The sequence below is a fragment of the Homo sapiens genome, chromosome 1 (assembly GCF_000001405.40).
Source record: "Homo sapiens chromosome 1, GRCh38.p14 Primary Assembly".
In the NCBI taxonomy this organism is placed as follows: domain Eukaryota; kingdom Metazoa; phylum Chordata; class Mammalia; order Primates; family Hominidae; genus Homo; species Homo sapiens.
The window spans coordinates 35807832-35829303 of NC_000001.11; the positions used below are offsets into that span (position 1 = coordinate 35807832).

At 42.3% G+C, this 21472-nt stretch overlaps 1 protein-coding gene across 12 annotated transcripts in view, besides 3 other annotated features; it reads left to right on the forward strand.

Moving 5' to 3' along the window:
- The window catches only part of AGO4 (argonaute RISC component 4), a 50255-nt gene that overhangs the window by 196 nt on the left and 28587 nt on the right, over nucleotides 1-21472 (forward strand). For 7 of the 12 annotated variants that reach the window (XR_246244.4, XR_246243.4, XR_001737019.2 and 4 more), the window contains exons 1-7: nucleotides 185-604; nucleotides 9051-9216; nucleotides 15031-15151; nucleotides 17482-17663; nucleotides 17848-17984; nucleotides 18095-18229; nucleotides 18917-19004. Coding sequence is in view for 7 of the 12 variants with exons in the window: in NM_017629.4 (NP_060099.2) it covers nucleotides 586-604; nucleotides 9051-9216; nucleotides 15031-15151; nucleotides 17482-17663; nucleotides 17848-17984; nucleotides 18095-18229; nucleotides 18917-19004 (848 nt within the window). In the remaining 5 variants the exon portion in view is untranslated. Of the gene's footprint in view, nucleotides 1-184; nucleotides 605-9050; nucleotides 9217-15025; nucleotides 15152-17481; nucleotides 17664-17773; nucleotides 17985-18094; nucleotides 18230-18916; nucleotides 19005-21472 lie in introns of those variants that run through there. The other 5 variants (NR_146062.2, XM_005270578.4, XM_005270579.4 and 2 more) reach the window with 4 other exon arrangements.
- Nucleotides 68-277: a silencer, noted in NCBI's record as "silent region_647". NCBI's record gives its function as "represses an Ori minimal core promoter by ATAC-STARR-seq in GM12878 lymphoblastoid cells {active_cell/tissue: GM12878}" and the evidence as "EXISTENCE:reporter gene assay evidence [ECO:0000049][PMID:35858748]".
- Nucleotides 558-807: a silencer, noted in NCBI's record as "silent region_648". NCBI's record gives its function as "represses an Ori minimal core promoter by ATAC-STARR-seq in GM12878 lymphoblastoid cells {active_cell/tissue: GM12878}" and the evidence as "EXISTENCE:reporter gene assay evidence [ECO:0000049][PMID:35858748]".
- Nucleotides 958-1237: an enhancer, noted in NCBI's record as "active region_738". NCBI's record gives its function as "activates an Ori minimal core promoter by ATAC-STARR-seq in GM12878 lymphoblastoid cells {active_cell/tissue: GM12878}" and the evidence as "EXISTENCE:reporter gene assay evidence [ECO:0000049][PMID:35858748]".

The window sequence follows — 21472 nt, forward strand, 5'->3', positions numbered from 1 at the left end:
AAACTGAATCTGTGGGTCAGCGGAACTGGAATCCAGATCTTTTGCAGGACGCCCTGGGGGGATGGCACGTAGCCCCCAGAGCCGTTGGCCACCGGACGGCCTCCTCGGGTGGACGGGGCAGAGCGGGCCAGCGGGCGCGTGCCCGACACGTCCACCGGGCTCTGCACCCTCCGGGCGCGCGCTCGTTCCCCGACCCGCCTCGCCGCCTGCCGGGCTCTGTGGACCCCGCGCCCGGGGCCGCGCACGCCCCCTCCGCCCGCCGGGACCCTGGGTCCGCGCACCCCGCGCCCCCTTCCCTCCCGGCGGGCGCGCGCGCTGGCTCCCGCTCCCGCTCCCGTTGGCGGCGGCGGCGGCGGCGGCGGCGGGGATTGTTTTTGTTGTCGCTGAGGCCGGAAGAGCCGGAGCCGGGTCCCTGTCCCCGGGCCGGGCGCCGCCGCCGCCCCCTGCCCAGCGCCCGCGTCTCCGCGGCGCCACCCCAGCGCCAATATTCCGGAGATCAAGCGTTACGCGGCGGCGGCGGCGGCGGCGGCGGGGCCCGGAGCGGGAGGCGCCGGGGACCGGGGCGAGGCGGCCCCCGCCGCCGCCATGGAGGCGCTGGGACCCGGTGAGGAGCGAGCTCGGGTCGGGGCGGGACCCGGGACCCGGGACCCGGGGCGGGCGGCCGGGACTTTCGCTGCCCCGTCGCCTCGCCGGGTTCGGGCCGCCAGGCCTCGGGGAAGGGGACCCGAGCCCCGCAGCACGAAGCGGAGGGAGCTGACCCGGGCCTGGGGGGCGGTGACCGCGCCCCAGCCGGCCGTTGGGTGGATCCCGAGGTCCAGGGGGGAGGTTCGGGAAGGTGACCGGCGCTGCCGGGCGGAGGCCACTCTTGGCCCCACCTCGGGGAGACGATATGTGCCCGGGGTCGCGACGAGGGTAGTTTGGGCCTCAGAAGGGGGCGATCCGCTACCCAGTGCGCGCGGAGGCCTGGCCCAGACCGGGAAAAGGGCCCCGCTGCCTACTACCAGCCGGTAGTCCTGGTTTGGGGCCGCGCCCCTATTTTTCTTTGCACTGGCAGATGGTCCAGAGCCTTCAGATGAGGAAGAAGAACTTCATCCAAACACCTCTCATGATCTCTGAAGGTCAAGGGACAAAATGCCCACCCTTTCTGAAAGGCCCTGATGTCCCAAAGAACATGGTCCTGTGCCTCTGTCACTCAGTCTGTGTGTTAGTCTCAGAGTGGTCTGAGCCAGCCTTTGAGTGACACAGGAGTTGCCAGTCAGTCTGCTCCACCACAGGCTTCAATGCCCTGAGTTCTCTTCTAATTGGGTTATGAGTGGTTGTGAGGATCAAATGAAGGAGAAAGTGCTTTGGAAACTAATTTGTTGTGGATATGGATGGCCTCTGGTTATTTCTCTCTATCCAAACCAGAAGAACCATTCCAGGCTGTAACAAGTGTCCTGAGTATTGGGGCCTGGTGCTTCCACCTCAAAGCCCAACAGGTTTCTAATGCCTTGGCTAAGTAGCTCAGTGTTTAGGGGCTGTGGTGGAATTCACTTTAATATTCAAACTTTACCTACATAATGAACTTAGTCGTAGAGTGTTTCATCTTTTTAGTGCGTAGAAAATTCGAGTTGCCATTTGAGTTTGGAAACTTGGCACGTTTGTTTACTTAGCACTTGTTTGCATAGCTGAGTGATTAAGCCCCACCCTAATTTGCTTCTTAAAGTATTGTTTAAAGGCCCTCATAATCAAATTTCATATGCCTTTTAAAAATAAATTGGCTTGCCGCATTAATATTGTTTGATAAACTTCAGTGTATTATGCCAGGTTAACTTCAGATATGTCCCCTGGCTAAAGACATGCTCAGGTCTTTAGGAATGTAACAGATTCAATCTAGTAATGTAATAGTTGTATGACCCTGGGAAAATTACTCAATTCCTTTGAACTTTCATTTTCTCGTCTATAAATTGAGGGTAATAATAAGTATGTTCTGTAAGATTGTTGAGAGAATGAAATGAGAGTATATGATAAGTCTTATTGTAGAGACTAGTGCCTATAGATGCTCAACAGATGTTTCTTCCCTCCCCCTAGTAATTCATAATTGAAACAACTGTTGCATTTATGATCTGATATCGAAAGAAATTGTGTAACTGTGGGCATAAACTGAATTTCATGGAAAGGATCAACCTGGTGATATTAGGCACTGCCCAGGGACTCTTTTTTTTTTTTGTTTTGATTTTAGCTTTTGCAGGTTTGAGGACTTAGTGGTTCACTCAGGATTGTTCAGATTGTGGAAAATTAATTCTCACTAACCACATTTATAAGACACTAATGAATAAGCCAAAATGTCACATGGATCTTTTCTGTTGAGTGGAATATTTTCCTGTCTGCTCTCTAGCAAACTCCTTTTTTGGTGTTGCAGTACCTTGGAAACCCAACTAATAAGTAGCTGCCTGCTAAGCATAGAATCAGAGCAAAGGGAGTTGATCGTCTTGTGGGATGATTCATCCAGGCTGTTTTAGAACCTAGAGAATCATCCCTGCTTCTTTGGCAGAGCACACCTGGATCTAGTGCTTTGTGCCCTCCTCACTTGAACAGTCCCTGAAGCCTTCTAGTCTTGTTCTATCCCTCCCTGCCCACCGCCTCCCTGCAACCTAGTTCAGTTTCTGCCAATACTCAGAAATATAATTAATTAGATTTCCACTTATTTTGGTAATATGTTGTTTGCAGTACTTTATAGTTTGTAAAGTGCTTTTATGACTATTAGCTCATTTGATCCTCTGGGAGGTAGGCAGGGCAGGTAGTTATTCCATTTTACAGATGAGAAAAGTGAGGTTCAGAGAGGATGAAGTGACTTCATTAGGGTTTCAAAGGGTCAAGTGGTGAAATAAAGACCTGAGTTTGGGTCATTTGACTTCTAATCTAATCATCTCCTCTTCATTAAGGCTGACTTCATCTGTTCTATGTTGTCATATCAGTTGCCCTTTCAGAGAATGCAGTTATCTGACTTTGTCACCACATTTTTGGGATACCCTGAAAATAAAACTGTGGTGGTTCATGCCTGTAATCCCAGCACTTTGGGAGGTTGAGGTGGGCGGATCATTTGCGGCCAGGAGTTCGAGACCAGCCTGGCCAGCATGGTGAAACTCCGTCTCTACTAAAAATATAAAAATTAGCTGGCTAAAAATATAAAAATTAGCTGGGTGTGGTGGCATACCTGTAGCCCTAGCTACTCTGGTGGCTGAAGTGGGAGGATGGCTTGAGCCTGCGAGGCAGAGGATGCTGCGAGCTGAGATCGCACCTCAAAAAGAAACCCTGCCTCAAAACAAAACAAAACAACAAAAAAAAACCAACCAAACCACAACAAAAAAACACCTCAGGGGCTGGGCACAGTGGCTCACGCCTGAAATCCCAGCACTCTGGGAGGCCGAGGTGGGCGGATCACCTGAGGTTAGGAGTTCAAGACCAGCCTGGCCAACGTAGTGAAACCCGTCTCTACTAAAAATATAAAAATTAGATGGGTGTGGTGGTGTGCTCCTGTAGTCTGAGGCTGCTGCAGGAGAATCGCTTGAACACAGGAGGCGGAAGTTGCAGTGAGCCGAGATTGCGCCACTGCACTCCAGCCTGGGTGACAGAGCAAGACTCCATCCAAAAAAAAACAAAAAAAAAAACAAAAACCAACCACCTCAGGGACCTTTGAGCACTAACTATGATTATAACGTTTACAAATGCAATTATAATAGCTAACATTTACTGAGCGTTTACTATTGCAAGGCACTATGTTAAACGTTTTTTGTTGTTGTTGTTTTTTGAGACAGAGTCTCGCTGTGTCGCCCAGGCTGGAGTGCAGTGGCGCCATCTCGGCTCACTGCAGCCTCCACCTCCCGGGTTCAAGCAGTTCTCTGCCTCAGCCTCCCGAGTAGCTGGGATTACAGGCACCCACCACGCCTGGCTAATTTTTGTATTTTTAGTAGAGACGGGGTTTCACCATCTTGGCCAGGCTGGTCTTGAACTCCTGACCTTGTGATCCACCCGCCCCGGCCTCCCAAAGTACTGGAATTACAGACATGAGCCACTGCACCCAGCCTTTATGTTAAACCTTGAATATACATCATCTCATGGGATAGATGCCATTATTATTACACACATGCCCATTTTATAAATGAGGAAACCGAGATGCAGAGAGGCCAAGAAACTGGCCCAACGTCATGCAATTAGGGAGTGGTGAGACCAGGATTTAAACCTAGGTAATTTGGTTCCAGAGCTTTAGCCACTGTGCTTTATTGCTTCATTAAGTAGATAGCTGGCTAAATTCAAAGAAACCAGATTTTTCCCAGCCTTCAGAGCTGTACAAATAAATTTCTGTTGTTTAGCCCAAATTAAAAAAAAAAGAAAAAAGAAAAAAAAAATTAACTTCCAGAATGAAAAAAGTTATAATTTTCAAACTAAATCTTCTAAGCTTATTAAAAGAAATTATCACTCACCATCTAACTTTTCTCTTTGCCAAGGAAAGGAGATACAAATAATATTTACTTTTTGCCACTTCTTAATCGTTTTTCTTTCAATTCTTCTGCCTCTGCCTCTTTGACATTCAAGTACTTCAGATAATAATACATATCACAAGATTATGAAGTATATTGGGAAGAAAAAGTGCTAGGCTAGGAGTTAGGAGATTTGGATTCTAGTTAGTATTTAAACTCAAAGTCGTATGTCCTTAAGCAAGTCATTTGATCCAAGTTTCTGTTTTCAAATTTCTATTATAAAGCTATATTTCTTACAACATTTTTTTTCTTTTTTTTTAAGACAAGTCTCATTCTGTCACCCTTGCTGGATTGCAGTGGCATGATCTCGGCTCACTGCAACCTGCACCTCCCAGGTTCAAGCTATTCCCCTGCCTCAGTCTCCCGAGTAGCTGGGATTACAGGTGCCCACCACCACACCTAGCTAATTTTTGTATTTTTAGTAGAGACGGTGTTTTGCCATGTTTGCCAGGCTGGTCTCAAACTTCTGACCTCAGGTGATCTGCCCGCTTCAGCCTTCCAAAGTGCTGGGATTACAGGCATGAGCCACTGTGCCTGGCCTCTTACAACTTTATGAATGATACAGTGATTGCTTAAGTGTATCTTGAAATATGCAGAGTTGACTTATTTTTATGATTTAATTGGGTTAATTCAGTATGTTTATCACCTCTCACATTATTTACTATTTACTTCTTACCTTGTTACCTTGTTTGTAATTGTCTTATCAATTGTATTGATAGGTCCTCTTGTACACTAGAAGTAGAACTCAACTCCAAGCAATAAGAATACTTTTAGTGGGCCGGGCGCAGTGGCTCACGCCTGTAATCCCAGCACTTTGGGAGGCCAAGGCAGGCAGATCACAAGGTCAGGAGATCAAGACCATCCTGGCTAAGATGGTGAAATCCTGTCTCTACTAAAAATACAAAAAATTAGCCGGGCATGGCAGCATGCGCCTGTAGTCCCAGCTGCTGGGGAGGCTGAGGCAGGAGAATGGCGTGAACCCGGGAGGCAGAGCTTGCAGTGAGCCAAGATTGTGCCACTGCACTCCAGCCTGGGTGACAGAGCGAGACTCCATCTCAAAAAAAAAAAAAAGAATACTTTTAGTATAAATTATGTGCTTTTGCTTCATTGAAAAATAATTGTCAGCTGGGCGTGGTGGCTCATGACTGTAATCCCAGCACTTTGGGAGGCCTAGGTGGGCAGATTGCTTGACCCCAGGAGTTCAAGACCAGCCTAGGCAACATGGCAAAACCCCAAACCTCGTCTCTACCAAAAATACAAAAATTAGCTGGGGTGGTATCTCAGTTACTCTGGAGGCTGAGGTGGGAGGATCAGTTGAGTCCAGGAGGTCGAGGCTGCAGTGAGCCATGATTGACCCACTGCACTCCAGCCTGGGCAACAGAGCAAGACCCTGGCTCAAAAAAAGAAAAAAAGAAGAAGAAGAAGAAGAGGAAGAGGAAGAAGGAAGAAGGAAGGAAGAAGGAAGAAGAAGAGAGACACTTTGGGAGGGCAAGGTGGGCGGATCACAAGGTCAGGAGTTTGAGACCAGCCTGGCCAATGTAGTGAAACCCCGTCTCTACTAAAAATACAAAAAATTAGCTGGGCATGGTGGCGGGTGCCTGTAATTCCAGCTACTTGGGAGGCTGAGGCAGGAGAATCTCTTGAACCCGGGAGGCGGAGGTTGCAGTAAGCCGAGATCGCACCACTGCCCTCCAGCCTGGGCAACAGTGTGAGACTCCATCTCAAAAAAAAAAAAGAGAGAGAAAGAGAAAGAAGAGAGAGAGAAAAAAGGAAGGAAGGAAGGAAAGAAGGAAGGACAGAAGGGAAGGAAGGAGAGAGAAAGAAAGATAATTATGATTTTTGTGTTTAGATTCTATCTGGGATTATTGATACTGTTCAGTTCAACATTTATTGAATTCTTATAACATGATGGCTGTTGCATTAGATATTGAGAAGATTAATAGGAGGTTCATTTCTTTTTTTTAAATTTTTTTTATTATACTTTAGGATACATATGCAGAATGTGCAGGTTTGTTACATATGTATACATGTGCCGTGTTGGTGTGCTGCACCCATTAACTCATCATTTACATTAGGTATATCTCCTAATGCTATCCCTCCCCCCTCCCCCTACCCCACAACAGGCCCCAGTGTGTGATGTTCCCCTTCCTGTGTCCAAGTGTTCTCATTGTTCAATTCCCATCTATGAGTGAGAACATGCGGTGTTTATAAGAGTTTGCAATCTAGTGAAGGAGACAGAGTAACTTAACAAGTGGTTTCTTATACTTGCTCTATGGGTTCCCCTATAGAGAGAGTCTTTTGAACACAGAGGACGGATCCTCTAGTCTGGGAGAATCAGGAAAGGCTTTCCAAGGAGGTTACATCTAAACCTAATTCTGAAGGATAAGTAGAATATAGTGGGAAAATGAATAATTAATATGTAAAATGATTTTTAATACTTTAAGTGTTAGAATATGGTGATCTGTAACCATAAATATCATAAAGTATTTGCTCTAATTTTCCTAAGTGATGTTGGAACAGAACAACTTCTTTTTGTTGTTGTTTTAGACTGAGTCTCCCTCTGTCGCCCAGGCTGGAGTGCAGTGACACAATCTCAGCTCACTGCAACCTCTGCCTCCCGGGTTCAAGCGATTCTCCTGCCTCAGCCTCCTGAGTAGCTGGGATTACAGGCATCCACCACCGTGCCCGGCTAATTTTTGTATTTTTAGTAGAGACGGGGTTTTACTATGCTGGCCAGGCTGGTCTCAAACTGCTGACCTCAGGTCATCTGCCTGCCTTGGCCTCCCGAAGTGCTGGGATTACAGGTGTGAGCCACCACGCCTGGCCCAGAACAACTTCTTGCTTCCAAGTTTTCTCTCCTTAGTGAAGTCTTTGTTCTCAGTGAAATGCCATTGCAGTAACAGAACCTGTTGTAACTTTCCATTGTAACCACAGCCCACTTTGCTCAGTGCCTATTCATAGCAGAAAAGATGTTCATTTTTTAGGCCAGTATCCACTTGATATTGTCATCAAAAAGGAGTAAGATTTTCTCTAAACGAGTGTCTCCCAGACTGTGCTCCACAAGATCTTTTTCTGCTGAGTATTAATAGATGTTCAAATCTTAGAGAGAGAGAGAGAGTTCTGTGGGGAAAAAAAACAGTTAGCTAAATGATGAGGTAAAGTTAACTAGGTTTATTTATTACATGACTTTTTAGATAATTTAATATGATAATATGCATTGAAATTTTAAGAGGGGAGAGAGTATGCAAGGTTTCTTTAACTTATAGAATCTTTTCTTTTTTGAAATAGTTTGGAAATATTACTCTATCTACATCAGGGTTTCTCAACCTCTTTCTCAGCACTATTGATATTTTGGACTGGGTAATTCTTTGTTGTGGGGGGCTATCTTATGCATTGTAGAATGCGTAGCTGTATCCTGGGTCCTTTCCACTAGATGCCAGCAGCACTTCTCAGGTTGTGACAACCAAAAATGTGTCCATATATTTGCCAAATGTTTCCTGGGGAACAAATTTGCCCCGGGTTGAGAACCACTGGTCTAGACTGTACATTCTTTGAAAGAAGGGGCTCTGTCTTCATTCTGAGTCCATAGTACAGGTTAGGCATGTTATAACTGAATAAATGAATAAATGTCTGTGGAATAAACTAGATCTTATGAGCAAGAAATCTCAGATTGTCCAGGTTCTAAAAATATCAAGTTATAAACGAGAAGGTCTAGCTTTATTGGTATTGTTTCACTATCGAAATTAGCAAATAAATTGATAAATAGAGCTGTGGTTTAATCTTCTCCTATATGTACAATTTATAATGATGCAGGCTAATTTGTGAGAGATTAGTAGGTCATTTCCAACTCTGGGGATGGTGGCTCCAGAGTTTAGAGATAGTTTTTAAAATGCATATAATTTTGTAAGTCTAGCTATAGAGCTTTACTAATGCTCATGCAAGATTTTATACTGTAGCCTATACTTGAGAGGAATTCATCATTCTAATTTTGATGTCCTTATGTTAAAAATAATAGCAACTTGGCAAAATATTTAGAAATCTAGAGAACCTTAGGTCGAAAGACACCCCAGATTCTTTATATTAGAGTACATACAGTGAATAATAAGATCTCAATAACTGTAGCCATCATCATCATCATCAAGAAGAAGAAGAATAAATAGCACAGCAGGCCAGGTGCGGTGGCTCACGCCTGTAATCCCAGCACTTTGGGAGGCTGAGGCAGGTGGATCACGAGGTCAGGAGTTCTAGACCAGCCTGGCCAATGTGGTGAAACCCTGTCTCTACTAAAAATACAAAAATTAGCCAGGCCTGGTGGCAGGCTCCTGTAATCCCAGCTACTGGAGAGGCTGAGGCAGGAGAATCGCTTGGAACTGGAAGGCAGAGGTTGCAGTGAGCCAAGATCAAGCCACTGCACTCCACCCTGGGTGAAAGAGCGAAACTCTGTCTCAAAAAAAAAAAAAAAAAAAAAAAGAAAGAAAGAAAGAAAAAGAAAAAAAAAATAGCACAGCAAATGTCTTTCAATCTCTTTAGGACCTCCGGCTAGCCTGTTTCAGCCACCTCGTCGTCCTGGCCTTGGAACTGTTGGAAAACCAATTCGACTGTTAGCCAATCATTTTCAGGTTCAGATTCCTAAAATAGATGTGTATCACTATGATGTGGATATTAAGCCTGAAAAACGGCCTCGTAGAGTCAACAGGTAAGGATTAGAAACAGTGGATTTCTGTATATTTAAGTGCATATAATTTATTTATGTATCATATTGTTCTCTAAATTCATCCAACATGTAGGCTTTGTTATTCTCTAAGATGATAGGTTTCTTAATAGCAGGTTTGCTGTCTCATGCTTGGTTATCCTCTGTAGGCTCTAGCAAAGTGCTGGATATATTATTAGTCAATCAGTAAACACTTATTTAATTATGGAAAAGAAAGGTCGCTCTTTCATTGACCAAGGGTAGCAAAAATTTACTAAAATAGGTGAAGACATTAGTGTCTGTGGGAAATAGAACTATCTGGAAATTCAATTTTTATTATTATATGTTGGTTTTGGACATGAGAAAGATGTATATATATATATATATCAATACAGAAGATTACTTGCAGATTTTTTCTTGGGGGAAAAGAAAGAAAAGTCATCTTGGAGTACTGAGAAAACTAAGCACAGAGAGAAGCTCTAGTTATTTCTAGCATTATCTAAGAGTGGTCCTGATGAGATGATGTAAGTATTGTGGTCTGTATAGCAGGAATTTACCTGGTGTGAAGACAGCCCTGTAGCAAATATTCTTACAGTGTGCTGAGTATACATCCACTTTTGTTTTCTCTGTTTCTATGCAGTGACATTCAGGCAATATTTGATATTAAGATTCTTGCTTTTTTAAGATTGCTCTTTGCTGTCAAGTTAAATATTTTGTGCCGCTTGATATTTTTCTCATTATGGATCAAAATTTGGCTTTCTGGTGTAGTTCATTCTCTTGTAAACCCATTATTGGCTATTGTGTAACTGAGATCAATAGTAGTAGAAGTGGTGGTAATGGATAACATTGATCCATCCAACGAATATTTTATTGAATGTTTATTTTGTGCCAGGTATTGCCCTGTGCTCTGGGAATTCACCATGAACAAAACAGGCAAAAGTTTCTACCTTTGAGGAGCGTATATTCTAATGGGGAAGACCAACAATAAATGAAGAAGCAAACAAAACATGTATTTTATTAGTTGGTAATAAATGCAATAAAGAAAAAGAAAATAGAGATGGAAGATAGGAAATGGGGATAGGATGAGCACTGAGATTTATATATGAATGAATATATATGTTTATATATACATATACATGCATATGTAGATATACACACACGTATGTATATGTATATACGTATGCAAATACCTAGAGAAAGTCTCACTGAAAAGTGATATTTGACCTAGAGGAGGTGAGGGATATCTGCATGAAGAGTGTCCCAGGCAAAGTCAGAAGCTTGGTGAGTTCAAGAAACAGCAGGCCGGGCGTGATGGCTCATGCCTGTAATCCCAGCACTTTGGGAGGCTGAGGCGGGCAGATCACTTGAGGTCAGGAGTTCGAGACCAGCCTGGCCAACATGGTGAAACCCTGTCTCTATTAAAAATACAAAAATTAGCTGGGCATAGTGGCACGTGCCTGTAATCCCAGCTACTTGGGAGGCTGAGGCAGGAGAATCACTTGAATCTGGGAGACGGAGGTTGCAGTGAGTGGAGATCATGCCGCTGCATTCCAGCCTGGGCAACAGAGGGAGACTCTGTCTCAAAAAGAAAGAAAGAAAGAAAGAAAGAAAGAAAGAAAGGAAGAAAGGAAGGAAGGAAGGAAGGAAGGAAGGAAGGAAGGAAAGAAACAAACAGCAGATAATTCTGGATTGCTGGAGTGAGTGAGTGGGGGAGAGTGATAGGAGATGAGGTTGGAGAAATTTCAGAAGGCCTCTATCATGCAGAACTTGTAGGCATTCATAACACTTTGTCATTTATTCTGGTTAGGTGAGTTTTAAATACTAAACCCACAACGTGACTAAATAAATCTAAGACATGACAAACTTATATTTTTAATGGATTGCCCTGGATGCTGTGCTGAAATTAGACCCTAGCAGGTAAGGGTGAAAAGCATGGAAATTAATTAAGAGGCACTTGGAATGATTCAGGTGAAAAGTAATGGTGGTTTAGACTTGAGTAGTATAATTGATAGTGATGAGAAGTGGTCAGATCCTGCAAATATTTTCATACTACTGTCAATAAGATTTACTGATGGATTGAACATGTGGTGTGAAAGAAAGAAATTAGTCATGATCAATTCCAGGGTTTATGTCCTGAGCTACTGGAAAAAAAGGAGTTGTCATTTATCAGATGGGGAAAACTGCAAGAGAAGCAGAAGCAGGGAGTAGCAGATCAGGAGACCTGTGCGTTTTGGACATCAGGGTTGAGATGACTATTAGACATGCTAGTGGAGATCGGCTGTGGTAGCTCGTACCTGTAATCCCAGCACTTTAGGAGGCTGAGGTGGGAGGATTGCTTGAAGCCAGGAGTTTGCAGCAAGCTTAGGCAACATGGCTAGACTCTGTCTATATTAAAAAAAACAAAAGGCCGCGCGCGGTGGCTCACATCTTTGGATGTGAGCACTTTGGGAGGCCGAGGTGGGTGGATCACGAGGTCAGAAGATTGAGACCAGCCTGGCTAATATGGTGAAACCCTGTCTCTACTAATGATACAAAAATTAGCTGGTCATGGTATGGTGGTGTGTGCCTGTAGTCCCAGCTACTCGGGAGGCTGAGGCAGAAGAATCACTTGAACCCGGGAGACGGAGGTTGCAGTGAGCTGAGATCGTGCTACTGCACGTCAGCCTATTCGACAGAGTGAGACTCTGTCTCAAAAAAAAAAAAAAAAAATAGCACCACTGCACTCCAGCCCAGGTGACAGAGTGAGACTCTGAGTCTTAAAAAAAAAAAAAAAAGGAGGTTGAATACAGTATTAAGGTTGGATTCAGGGAACAGTTCGAGGCTGGAGACAAACATTTGAGAATCATGAGCTTATTGATGATAAAGCCATGAGACTGGATGAGATTATGTTGAAAGTGAGTGTGTGTGGAGAAAATAAGGCTCCTACACTGGGTCTTGAAGCACTCCAATATTTAAAGATTTAACTGAAAGATTAAAGGCGATGAGGAAGTATCAGCAGGAAGATTGGCATGGAGAGACCACTGGGATAGGAGAAAACCAAGGGAGTGGTGCTCTGGAGGCAAAGGAAGAAGATGTTTTAAGTTGGAAGGATGGATTATCTAATGTTCAAGGAGCATTGAATTTAGCTATATGGAGCCCACTGGAGGACGTCGATAACAGTAGTTTGGTAGAGAAAAAGCCTTACTTGAGAAAGTTCAAGGGAGAAAGGGGAAGAGGAATTACAGACAACTCCTTCAAGGGATTTTGATACAAAAGGGAGCACAGAAATAGAATGTTCAGACGGGGAGAAACTGAGATTAAGAAAGTTTAATTTTTTATTTATGTATTTTTTTTTAAGATGGAGTCTCACTCTGTCACCCAGGTTGGAGTGCAGTGGTGCGATCTTGGCTCACTGAAACCTCCACTTCTGGGGTTCAACTGATTCCCTTGCCTCAGCCTCCCGAGTAGCTGGGATTACAGGCATGCACCACCACACCTGGCTAATTTTTTATTTTTAGTAGAGACGAGGTTTCACCATGTTGGTCAGGCTTGTCTCAAACTCCTGACCTCAAGTGATCTGCCTGCCTCTGCCCCTCAAAGTGCTGGGATTATAAGCATGAGCCACCCCGCCTGGCCCAAGAAAGTTTGATTTTTTTTTTTAGGATGAGAGAAATTAGAGCATATTTGTATGCTGAAGGGAATAATCCAGTAAAAAGGAAAAATTTCATGATTTAGGAGAGAAGACAATTCTTGGAATGATATCCATGAGCAGATCAGAGTACAAAGGCTTATTGTGGGACAAGCACCATTCTAAATACTCTATGTATTTTACCTAACACTGTATAAATAAATAAATACTCTGTGTGTTTGCTCAATTAAGACAACCACTTTTCAAGGGAAGTATTATTATTATTATTATCATAACTTTACATATGAAGAAACAGACAAGTGAAAGATTAAGTAACTTGTCCAAGGTCATGCAGTTCTGCCACTTAATCATTGTGTGATCAGGGACAAGCCACTTGCCCATTCTGAATTTTTCTTTTTTCTTTTCTTTAATATGAGGACCATAATCATTTTCCTATTTGTTTTACGAGGTTGCTGTGAAGATTAAATGAGAATAGAGGTGAAAGTAGCTCTTTACTCTAAAACTTTTTGGTCAGAATTTAAGAATGTAAGATGAGAAATTACTCTTTTCTAGTATGAAAACGTATAGTTCTTAAGTTAGCTCTTTAAAATGGAGATTGTACGATACCACGTCTCTCCATCAATTTTTTTCAGTCACATGATTTGGTTTGTAAACATGACTTTCCCACAGATTTCATTTGTAGTAATATAAATGTGTTAGCTAGTTGTGATGTATTTTGGCTTTTAAGATATTGTTCCCACACATGAAACTCACAAACGTTGCTAAGTTAAAGCACCTAACTTTTCATTGACTCTAGCATTCAAAAATCTCACAAACCCTGGTCTGTCCATATCTTAAACTCTATACACCAGTTTTTTTGCCACTGCATTTATTCCACGGCCTGCATACAGTGTGATCTGGCATATATGCAAGAACACTTAAGTAAAGTTCTGCATGCTTGATTGAGAAAAAGACTTTTATTCTAAAAACAAAGAAGCTATATTAATAATCTTTTTGGAAAGAGAATATTTTACAACATTCCCTTGTCTACACTGCTTGGAATAAGCACTTTGAAATAAGACAAGCACTTTGGAATAAGACAAGACGGTATACAGAATAATAAATCACTGGCATTAGGCAAAGGGGTTGACTTATTTGTGTATCATGGATCTTAGATTTACTGATCCTCAGATTTTTAAATTCCTGCTGATTCTCTTTCTCAAAACCAATATACTTGAATAAGGATTTTTTTTTTTTTTGACAGAGTTTTACTCTGTTGCCCAGGCTGGAGTACAGTGGAACGATCTCAGCTCACTGCAACCCCTGCCTCCTGGGTTCAAGCGATTCTCGTGCCTCAGCCCCCCAAGTACCCGGGATTACACCATGCCTGACTAAGTTTTCTATTTTTTTTAGTTGAGACTGGGTTTCACTGTGTTGGCCAGGCTAGTCTCGAACTCCTGACCTCAAGTGATCCACCTGCCTCGGCCTCCCAAAGTGCTGGAATTGCAGGCATGAGCCACCACGCCCAGCCAGGATATTGATTTGATGACAAACTTATCATCGTTCAGTGATGTACCTCCGTGTCAAACTTAGATATCCAAGATAGGTTATTCTTTTTTTTCTTGAGACAGAATTTCACTCTTGTTGCCCAGGATGGAGTGCAATGGCACGATCTTGGTTCACCACAACCTCCGCTTCCCAGGTTCAAGCGATTCACCTGCCTCAGCCTCCTGAGTAGCTGGGATTACAGGCACGTGCCACCATGCCGGCTAATTTTGTATTTTTAGTAGAGACAGGGTTTCACTGTGTTGGTCAGGCTGGTCTCGAACTCCTGACCTCAAGTGATCCACCCACCTCAGCCTCCCAAAGTGCTGGGATTACAGCCGTGAGCCACCACACCCAGCCAGGTTATTCTTATAAGGCTGTGTTTATCACAGGAGAGGATTTTGGAAAGAGGAGGTTGAGAGGATACCATAAATGTTATTCTCTCTTTTATTCCCCATTTCTGATATCATCTTACAGTTGTTTTTGTACACTTGTTGCTACCTTTCTTTAGTTAACTATTTTTTAAAGTACTCGAATCAATTGTAACCTTAACTCTTACTTTTTCCAAGTAATACTGAACCGAATTTAAATGATTAAAGTATGATGATGCTTTTCTTACTGTTCACCATTTCTGAAAGCTAACTGCCATTATCTCCATTACTGTGAAGGGAGGTAGTAGATACAATGGTGCGGCACTTCAAGATGCAAATATTTGGTGATCGGCAGCCTGGGTATGATGGCAAAAGAAACATGTACACAGCACATCCACTACCAATTGGACGGGATAGGGTAAGTGTTAAGAGCAAGAAATACTTAGTTCATTTAGTAGTAATTATACATGACAAAAATATTTCCTTTTCTTCCCAACACACACAAAAAACATAAATGTTTGAGGTGATGATATCCTAATTAACCTGATTTCATTATTACACATTGCATACAGATATCAAAATATCACATGTACCCCAAAAGTATGTACAACTGTCATATATCAATTTTAAAAAATCTGTATGTGAGCAGAAACAAAAGTTTCTGTAATAACACATCAATTCTTAGAAATTTTTTTTTTTTTTTTTTGAGATGGGATCTCGCTCTGTCACCCAGGCTGGAATGCAGTGGTTTGGTCTCCACTCACTGAAACCTCTGCCTCCCAGATTCAAGTGATTCTCCTGCCCCAGCCTTCCAAGTAGCTGGGATTACAGGCATGTGCCACCACACCTGGCTAATTTTTATTTTATTTTTTTCCTTGAGAGACGGAGCCTTGCTCTGTTGCCCAGGCTGGAGTGCAGTGGCGCGATCTCGGCGCAGTGCAACTTCCACTTCCTGGGTTCAAGCGATTCTCCGGCCTCAGCTTCCCAAGTATCTGGGACTATAGGCGTGTGCCACCACGCCCAGATCATTGTTGTATTTTATTAGTAGAAATGGGGGTTTCACTATATGTTGGCCAGGCTGGTCTCGAACTCCTGACCTCAGGTGATCCACCCGCCTCAGCCTCCCAAAGTGCTGGGATTACAGGCATGAGCCACTGCGCCTGGCCTTAATTTTTATTATTATTATTATTTTTTTTTTTAGTACAGATGGGGTTTCACCATGTTGGACAGGCTGGTGTCAAACTCCTGACCCCAGGTGATCCACCATCTCAGCCTCCCAAAGTGCTGGGATTACAGGCATGAGCCACCACGCCCAGCGAGAGTTGTTTTTTATAGTGATGATAGATTTGTTATTCTGTCCATATTCTCTTGTCTTAGTTAACTGATAATTGAAAATGAGATGAGCATTAGGATTGAGGTTGATTATGTCATCTTTACGTAATTTCTCACATTAACCATGTACTTTAACAAAGTACTACCTGAATCTGAACAACAGAGTTTTATAAATTATAGAAAACTATATAATACTCACTTATGAAAATAGATTATAATAGCACAATACTTTTTTAAACATTTATTTTTTTTAAATTAGAAAAGTACTGTGTGAACATATGCTCATAATAAATTTATCCAGACAATCTAGAAATGCTGTGATTTACCGCCTCCACCACTTATCTGCACCCTCACTACCATTTTCCTTTCCAAAGGAAACTACTATAGTAGTTTGGTATGTATCTTTTTAGATATGTTATGTATATTAGCTGCTATTTATACATATGTTGATGTGTATTCTTATTGTTTTGCATGTCACTCTATGATTTGCTTTTCATTTAACAATATGCCTGAAAGATCTTTCCATTTCTATACATTTATATCTACCTTATTATTTTTTTTCAAATTTAAGTTTTTATTGTTGTAAAATAATATATAACATAAAATTTACTATTTTTGGCTGGGTGTAGTGCTTCACCCAGCCAAAAATCCCAGTGCTGTGGGAGATCGAGGTGGGAGAATTGCTTGAGGCCAGTAGTTTGAGACCAGCCTGAGCAACACAGGGAGACCCATCTCTACAAAAAAAAAATTTCTAATTAGCCAGGCATGGTGGTGTGCACTTGTAATTCCAGCTACTTGGGAGGCTAAAGTGGGAGGATCCCTTGAGCCCAGGACTTTGAGGCTACAATAAGTTATTATTGCACCACTGCACTCCAGCTTGGATGACAGAGCAGGACCCTGTCTCAAAAAAAACTTATGATGTTATGTTACAGTTTAATGGCATTATGTATGTTCACATTGTTGTGCATCCATCATCACTATCCATTTTCAGAACTTTTTCATCATTCCAAACGAAAACTCTGTACCTATTAAACAATAATTCCCCATACCCTACTGTCCCTGGTCCCTGAGAACCACTATTCTACTTTCTGTCCCTTTAAATTTGACTATTCAATGTACTTCATAGAAATAGAATCATGAAATATTTGTCTTTTTGTATCTGGCTTGTTTCATTTAGCATAATGTTTTCAAGCGTCATCCATGTTATAACATCTACCTTATTTTTTCACTATTGTATAATGTTACATATTAAATTATACCCCTACTCATGGACACTAAGTTGTTTCCAATGTTACACAATTGTAAAAAAAAGTTAAAAGAAATATCCTTATGCATGTATCATACTGCATATTCTTGGGATCTTTCCCACAGCCATTGTAAACATTTGTGTTTGTATTCATGTATTTTTTTCCTTAGGTTGATATGGAGGTGACTCTTCCAGGCGAGGGTAAAGACCAAACATTTAAAGTGTCTGTTCAGTGGGTGTCAGTTGTGAGCCTTCAGTTGCTTTTAGAAGCTTTGGCTGGGCACTTGAATGAAGTCCCAGATGACTCAGTACAAGCACTTGATGTTATCACAAGACACCTTCCCTCCATGAGGTTAGTACCTTGGTTTGGATTATTTCCTACAAATGTCAGACTTTTTTGGTAGGTTGTACTGGAGCCATTGAAAAATTTCTGCATAAGTCATTGTTCAAATTTGATTTCAGCTCCCAGAGTTGAGAGTGAAATGAAGGACCTTTCACATGTTTAATGTGACACATGCAAACTCTTATTTCTTCAGGTACACCCCAGTGGGCCGTTCCTTTTTCTCACCCCCGGAAGGTTACTACCACCCTCTGGGAGGGGGCAGGGAGGTCTGGTTTGGTTTTCATCAGTCTGTGAGACCTGCCATGTGGAATATGATGCTCAACATTGATGGTAGGATGGAACTCTCTTTATCCAATAACTCTTTGGGCTGGTTTTTGTTTGTTTGTTTGTTTTGGCCCTTCCCTTTTCCCTGAAGTGAAGTATCCTTCTCTGTTTGTTAGTATCTGCAACTGCTTTCTACCGGGCTCAGCCTATCATTGAGTTCATGTGTGAGGTTTTAGACATTCAGAACATCAATGAACAGACCAAACCTCTAACAGACTCCCAGCGTGTCAAATTTACCAAAGAAATCAGAGGTAAGTGTTTGCATTAATGTAGTCTTGGAGAAGCAGCTCAGCATGCTGCACGTTGCCTGTGCTCTGGAGTCACACAGACCTGGGCTTCGGTCTCAGGCTAACCACTTCTATCAATGGGACCTTGGTCAAGTTCCTTAACCACTGTGAACCTTAGTGTATTCATCTCTAAGGTAAAGATAATAATATATACCTTGTAGAGTTGTTGTGAGAATTAAATGCAATTAGGCTTATAAAGCTTTCTAGCATAGTACCTGTCACATATCAGGCACTCAGTAAATGCTATGCTTACCCACTTAAGAACTTCCATTTTAATAAAATAACATAAATTCATTTATTATCCTTCTGGGATTTCTTTTCTTCTTGTTATTAGTTAGTTTCCCTCACTAGAATATAAACTTCACGAAAGCTGTCTCCAGACCTGAAAATAAGCATCAGAACATAGTTGATGCTTAATAAATATTTATTGGATGAAATAATAAACTAAAGGAGATTGAGCATCTTAGGTAATCTGAGTTCTAATTTATTCTGCTTAACTCAGGTTTTTTGCCTATAACGATGAAATTGTCCCCATATTCTTGCAATTTTTATCCTGTACAATGTCATGACATTTTGAAGACAACATTTGAATCTGTTTTTGCCACTGTGATTTTAATTAACTGATGTTTTGCCTTTTAAAAAAAATTTCAGGTCTCAAAGTTGAGGTGACCCACTGTGGACAGATGAAACGAAAATACCGAGTTTGTAATGTGACTAGACGGCCAGCCAGTCATCAAACGTATGTTAACCACATCTAAAGTAATACAATTACATTTTTAGTAACAGAGGGAGCTACTATAATTGTTTTAAGAAATTGGTTATTGGCCGGGCACAGTGGCTCACACCTGTAATCCCAGCACTTTGAGAGGCCGAGGTAGGTGGATCATGAGGTCAGGAGTTCAAGACCAGCCTGGCCAAGATGGTGAAACCCCATCTCTACTAAAAATACAAGAAAACTAGCTGGGCGTGGTGGCGGGTACCTGTAACACCAGGTACTCGGGAGGCTGAGGCAGAGAATTGTTTGAACCTGGGAGGTGGAGGTTACAGTGAGCCGAGGTCACACCACTGCACTCCAGCCTGGGCAACAGAGCAAGACCCTGTCTCAAAAAAAATTAATAAATAAAAAGAAATTGGTTATCTTGGCCAGGCATGGTGGCTCACACCTGTTATCTCAGCACTTTGGGAGGCCGAGCCAGGCAGATCACTTGAAGTCAGGCGTTCGAGACCAGCCTGGCCAACATAGTGAAACCCCGTCTCTACTAAAAACTACAAAAATTAGCCAGGCTTAGTGGCAGGCGCTTGTAATCCCAGCTGCTTGGGAGGTTGAGGCAGGAGAATCGCTTGAACCCAGGAGGCAGAGTTTGCAGTGAGCCAAGATCACACCTTGTACTCCAGCCTGGGTGACAGAGTGAAACTCCATCTCAAAAGAAAAAAAGAAAGAAATTGGTTATCTTATACTGAAATTTTCAAGATCACGAGAATCTTTGCTTTTAACACCAAAGTTTTAAAACATTTTCTGAATATTTTTGGTAGAGGTATTTATAAAACACATTCCTTGCCTTTAATTCAATTTACCTCTTAAGTAGAGTATGTTAAACATAGATTAACTTTTATTTAATCTATGTTTTATTTAATCTTTTTATTTAATGATGCAGAGTCATTATAAGCTTTTTTTTATTATACTGTTGTTATTCTTTTTTTTTTTTTTTTTTTTCTTTTGGAGACAGGGTCTCACTCTGTCACCTTCTGGGCTCAAGTGAACCTCCCACCTCAGACTTCCAAGTAGTGGGATTACAGGCATGCACCACCACACTCGCCTAATTTTTTTTGTAGAGGTGGGGTTTTGCTATGTTGCCCAGTCTGGTCTTGAATTCCTGGGCTCAAACAGTTTGCCCGCCTCGGCCTCCCAAAGTGCTGGGACTACAGGTGTGAACCAGCACACCCAGCCTACTGTTGTAATTCTTAATACATGGCTCAAAAGGTCTATTAAGGCCTAGATATCATATAAGGCTGTCAGGAGAAGACATACATGTAAATAAAATATATGAGAAGACATTTTATATGTATGTATGTATCTTCTAAAAAAAATACAGACACACGTATATATATAGTGCTTGGCACCGTCATGGCCCACTGCAGCCTCAGCTTCCTGGGCTCAAGCAATCCTCCCACCTCAGCCTCCTGAGTATCTGGGACTACAGGCATGTGCCACCATGCCTGGCTAATTTTTGTATTTTTAATAGAGATGGGGTCCCACTTTGTTGCCCAGGCTGGGAGAAGACATCTATTGCTTTGTGTTTTGTGTGGATTTCTCTCCCTCCCTTTGTAGGTAGCTGTCACTTCTTACAGCTGTTGGTGTCTATGGCATCCTCCAGCAGCATACTCCTTTCCATTTCCCCAATCTCATTTTCCTAATCACCCAACACTTCTTTTTTTTTTTGAGACAGAGTTTAGCTCTTGTTGCCCAGGTTGGAGTGCAATGTCGTGATCTCTGCTCACTGCAACCTCCACCTCCCCGGTTCAAGCGATTCTCCTGCCTCAACCTCCCAAGTAGCTGGGATTACAGGCACCTGCCACCATGCCCAGCTAATTTTTTGTATTTTTGGTAGAGACAGGGTTCCTCTATGTTGGCCAGGCTGATCTTGAACCCCTGACCTCAGGCAATCCACCCGCCTCGGCCTCCCAAAGTGCTGGGATTACAGGCATGAGCCACTGCGCCCAGCCCATCACCCAACACTTCTAATCTACTGAAAACTGTGCCTCAGTGAGACACTATATGTGAAAGTGCTTTAAAAATTATATCTGTATCTTATTCTTGTAATCAAGATCATGTCTGACATAAACATAAATATTGGCTCTTCTAAATAAAGAGTTAAATATACAGTATACACTTTACTACATTTACATTATTTTGGTTACTCAGAGCCCCCCCCCCCACACACACACCTTTTTTTGCTTATATTCTAATCTGACTTTGTTTTAGATTCATGATTCTTAATTTTCAAACTTTAGTGCATATCAAAATCACCCAGAGGGCTTTGTCTAGATAGTTGAAATTTTCAGATGGCTTCTGGATAAATAAAGTGCATTATTTCAGTCTGATTGGAATAAATTCTTCAGTATGACCTCATGTACACACTACATGAATTTCTTAAGAGTGGTAAATTGGTATTTCATGTATTATTTGTATTATACCATTGACTTCTT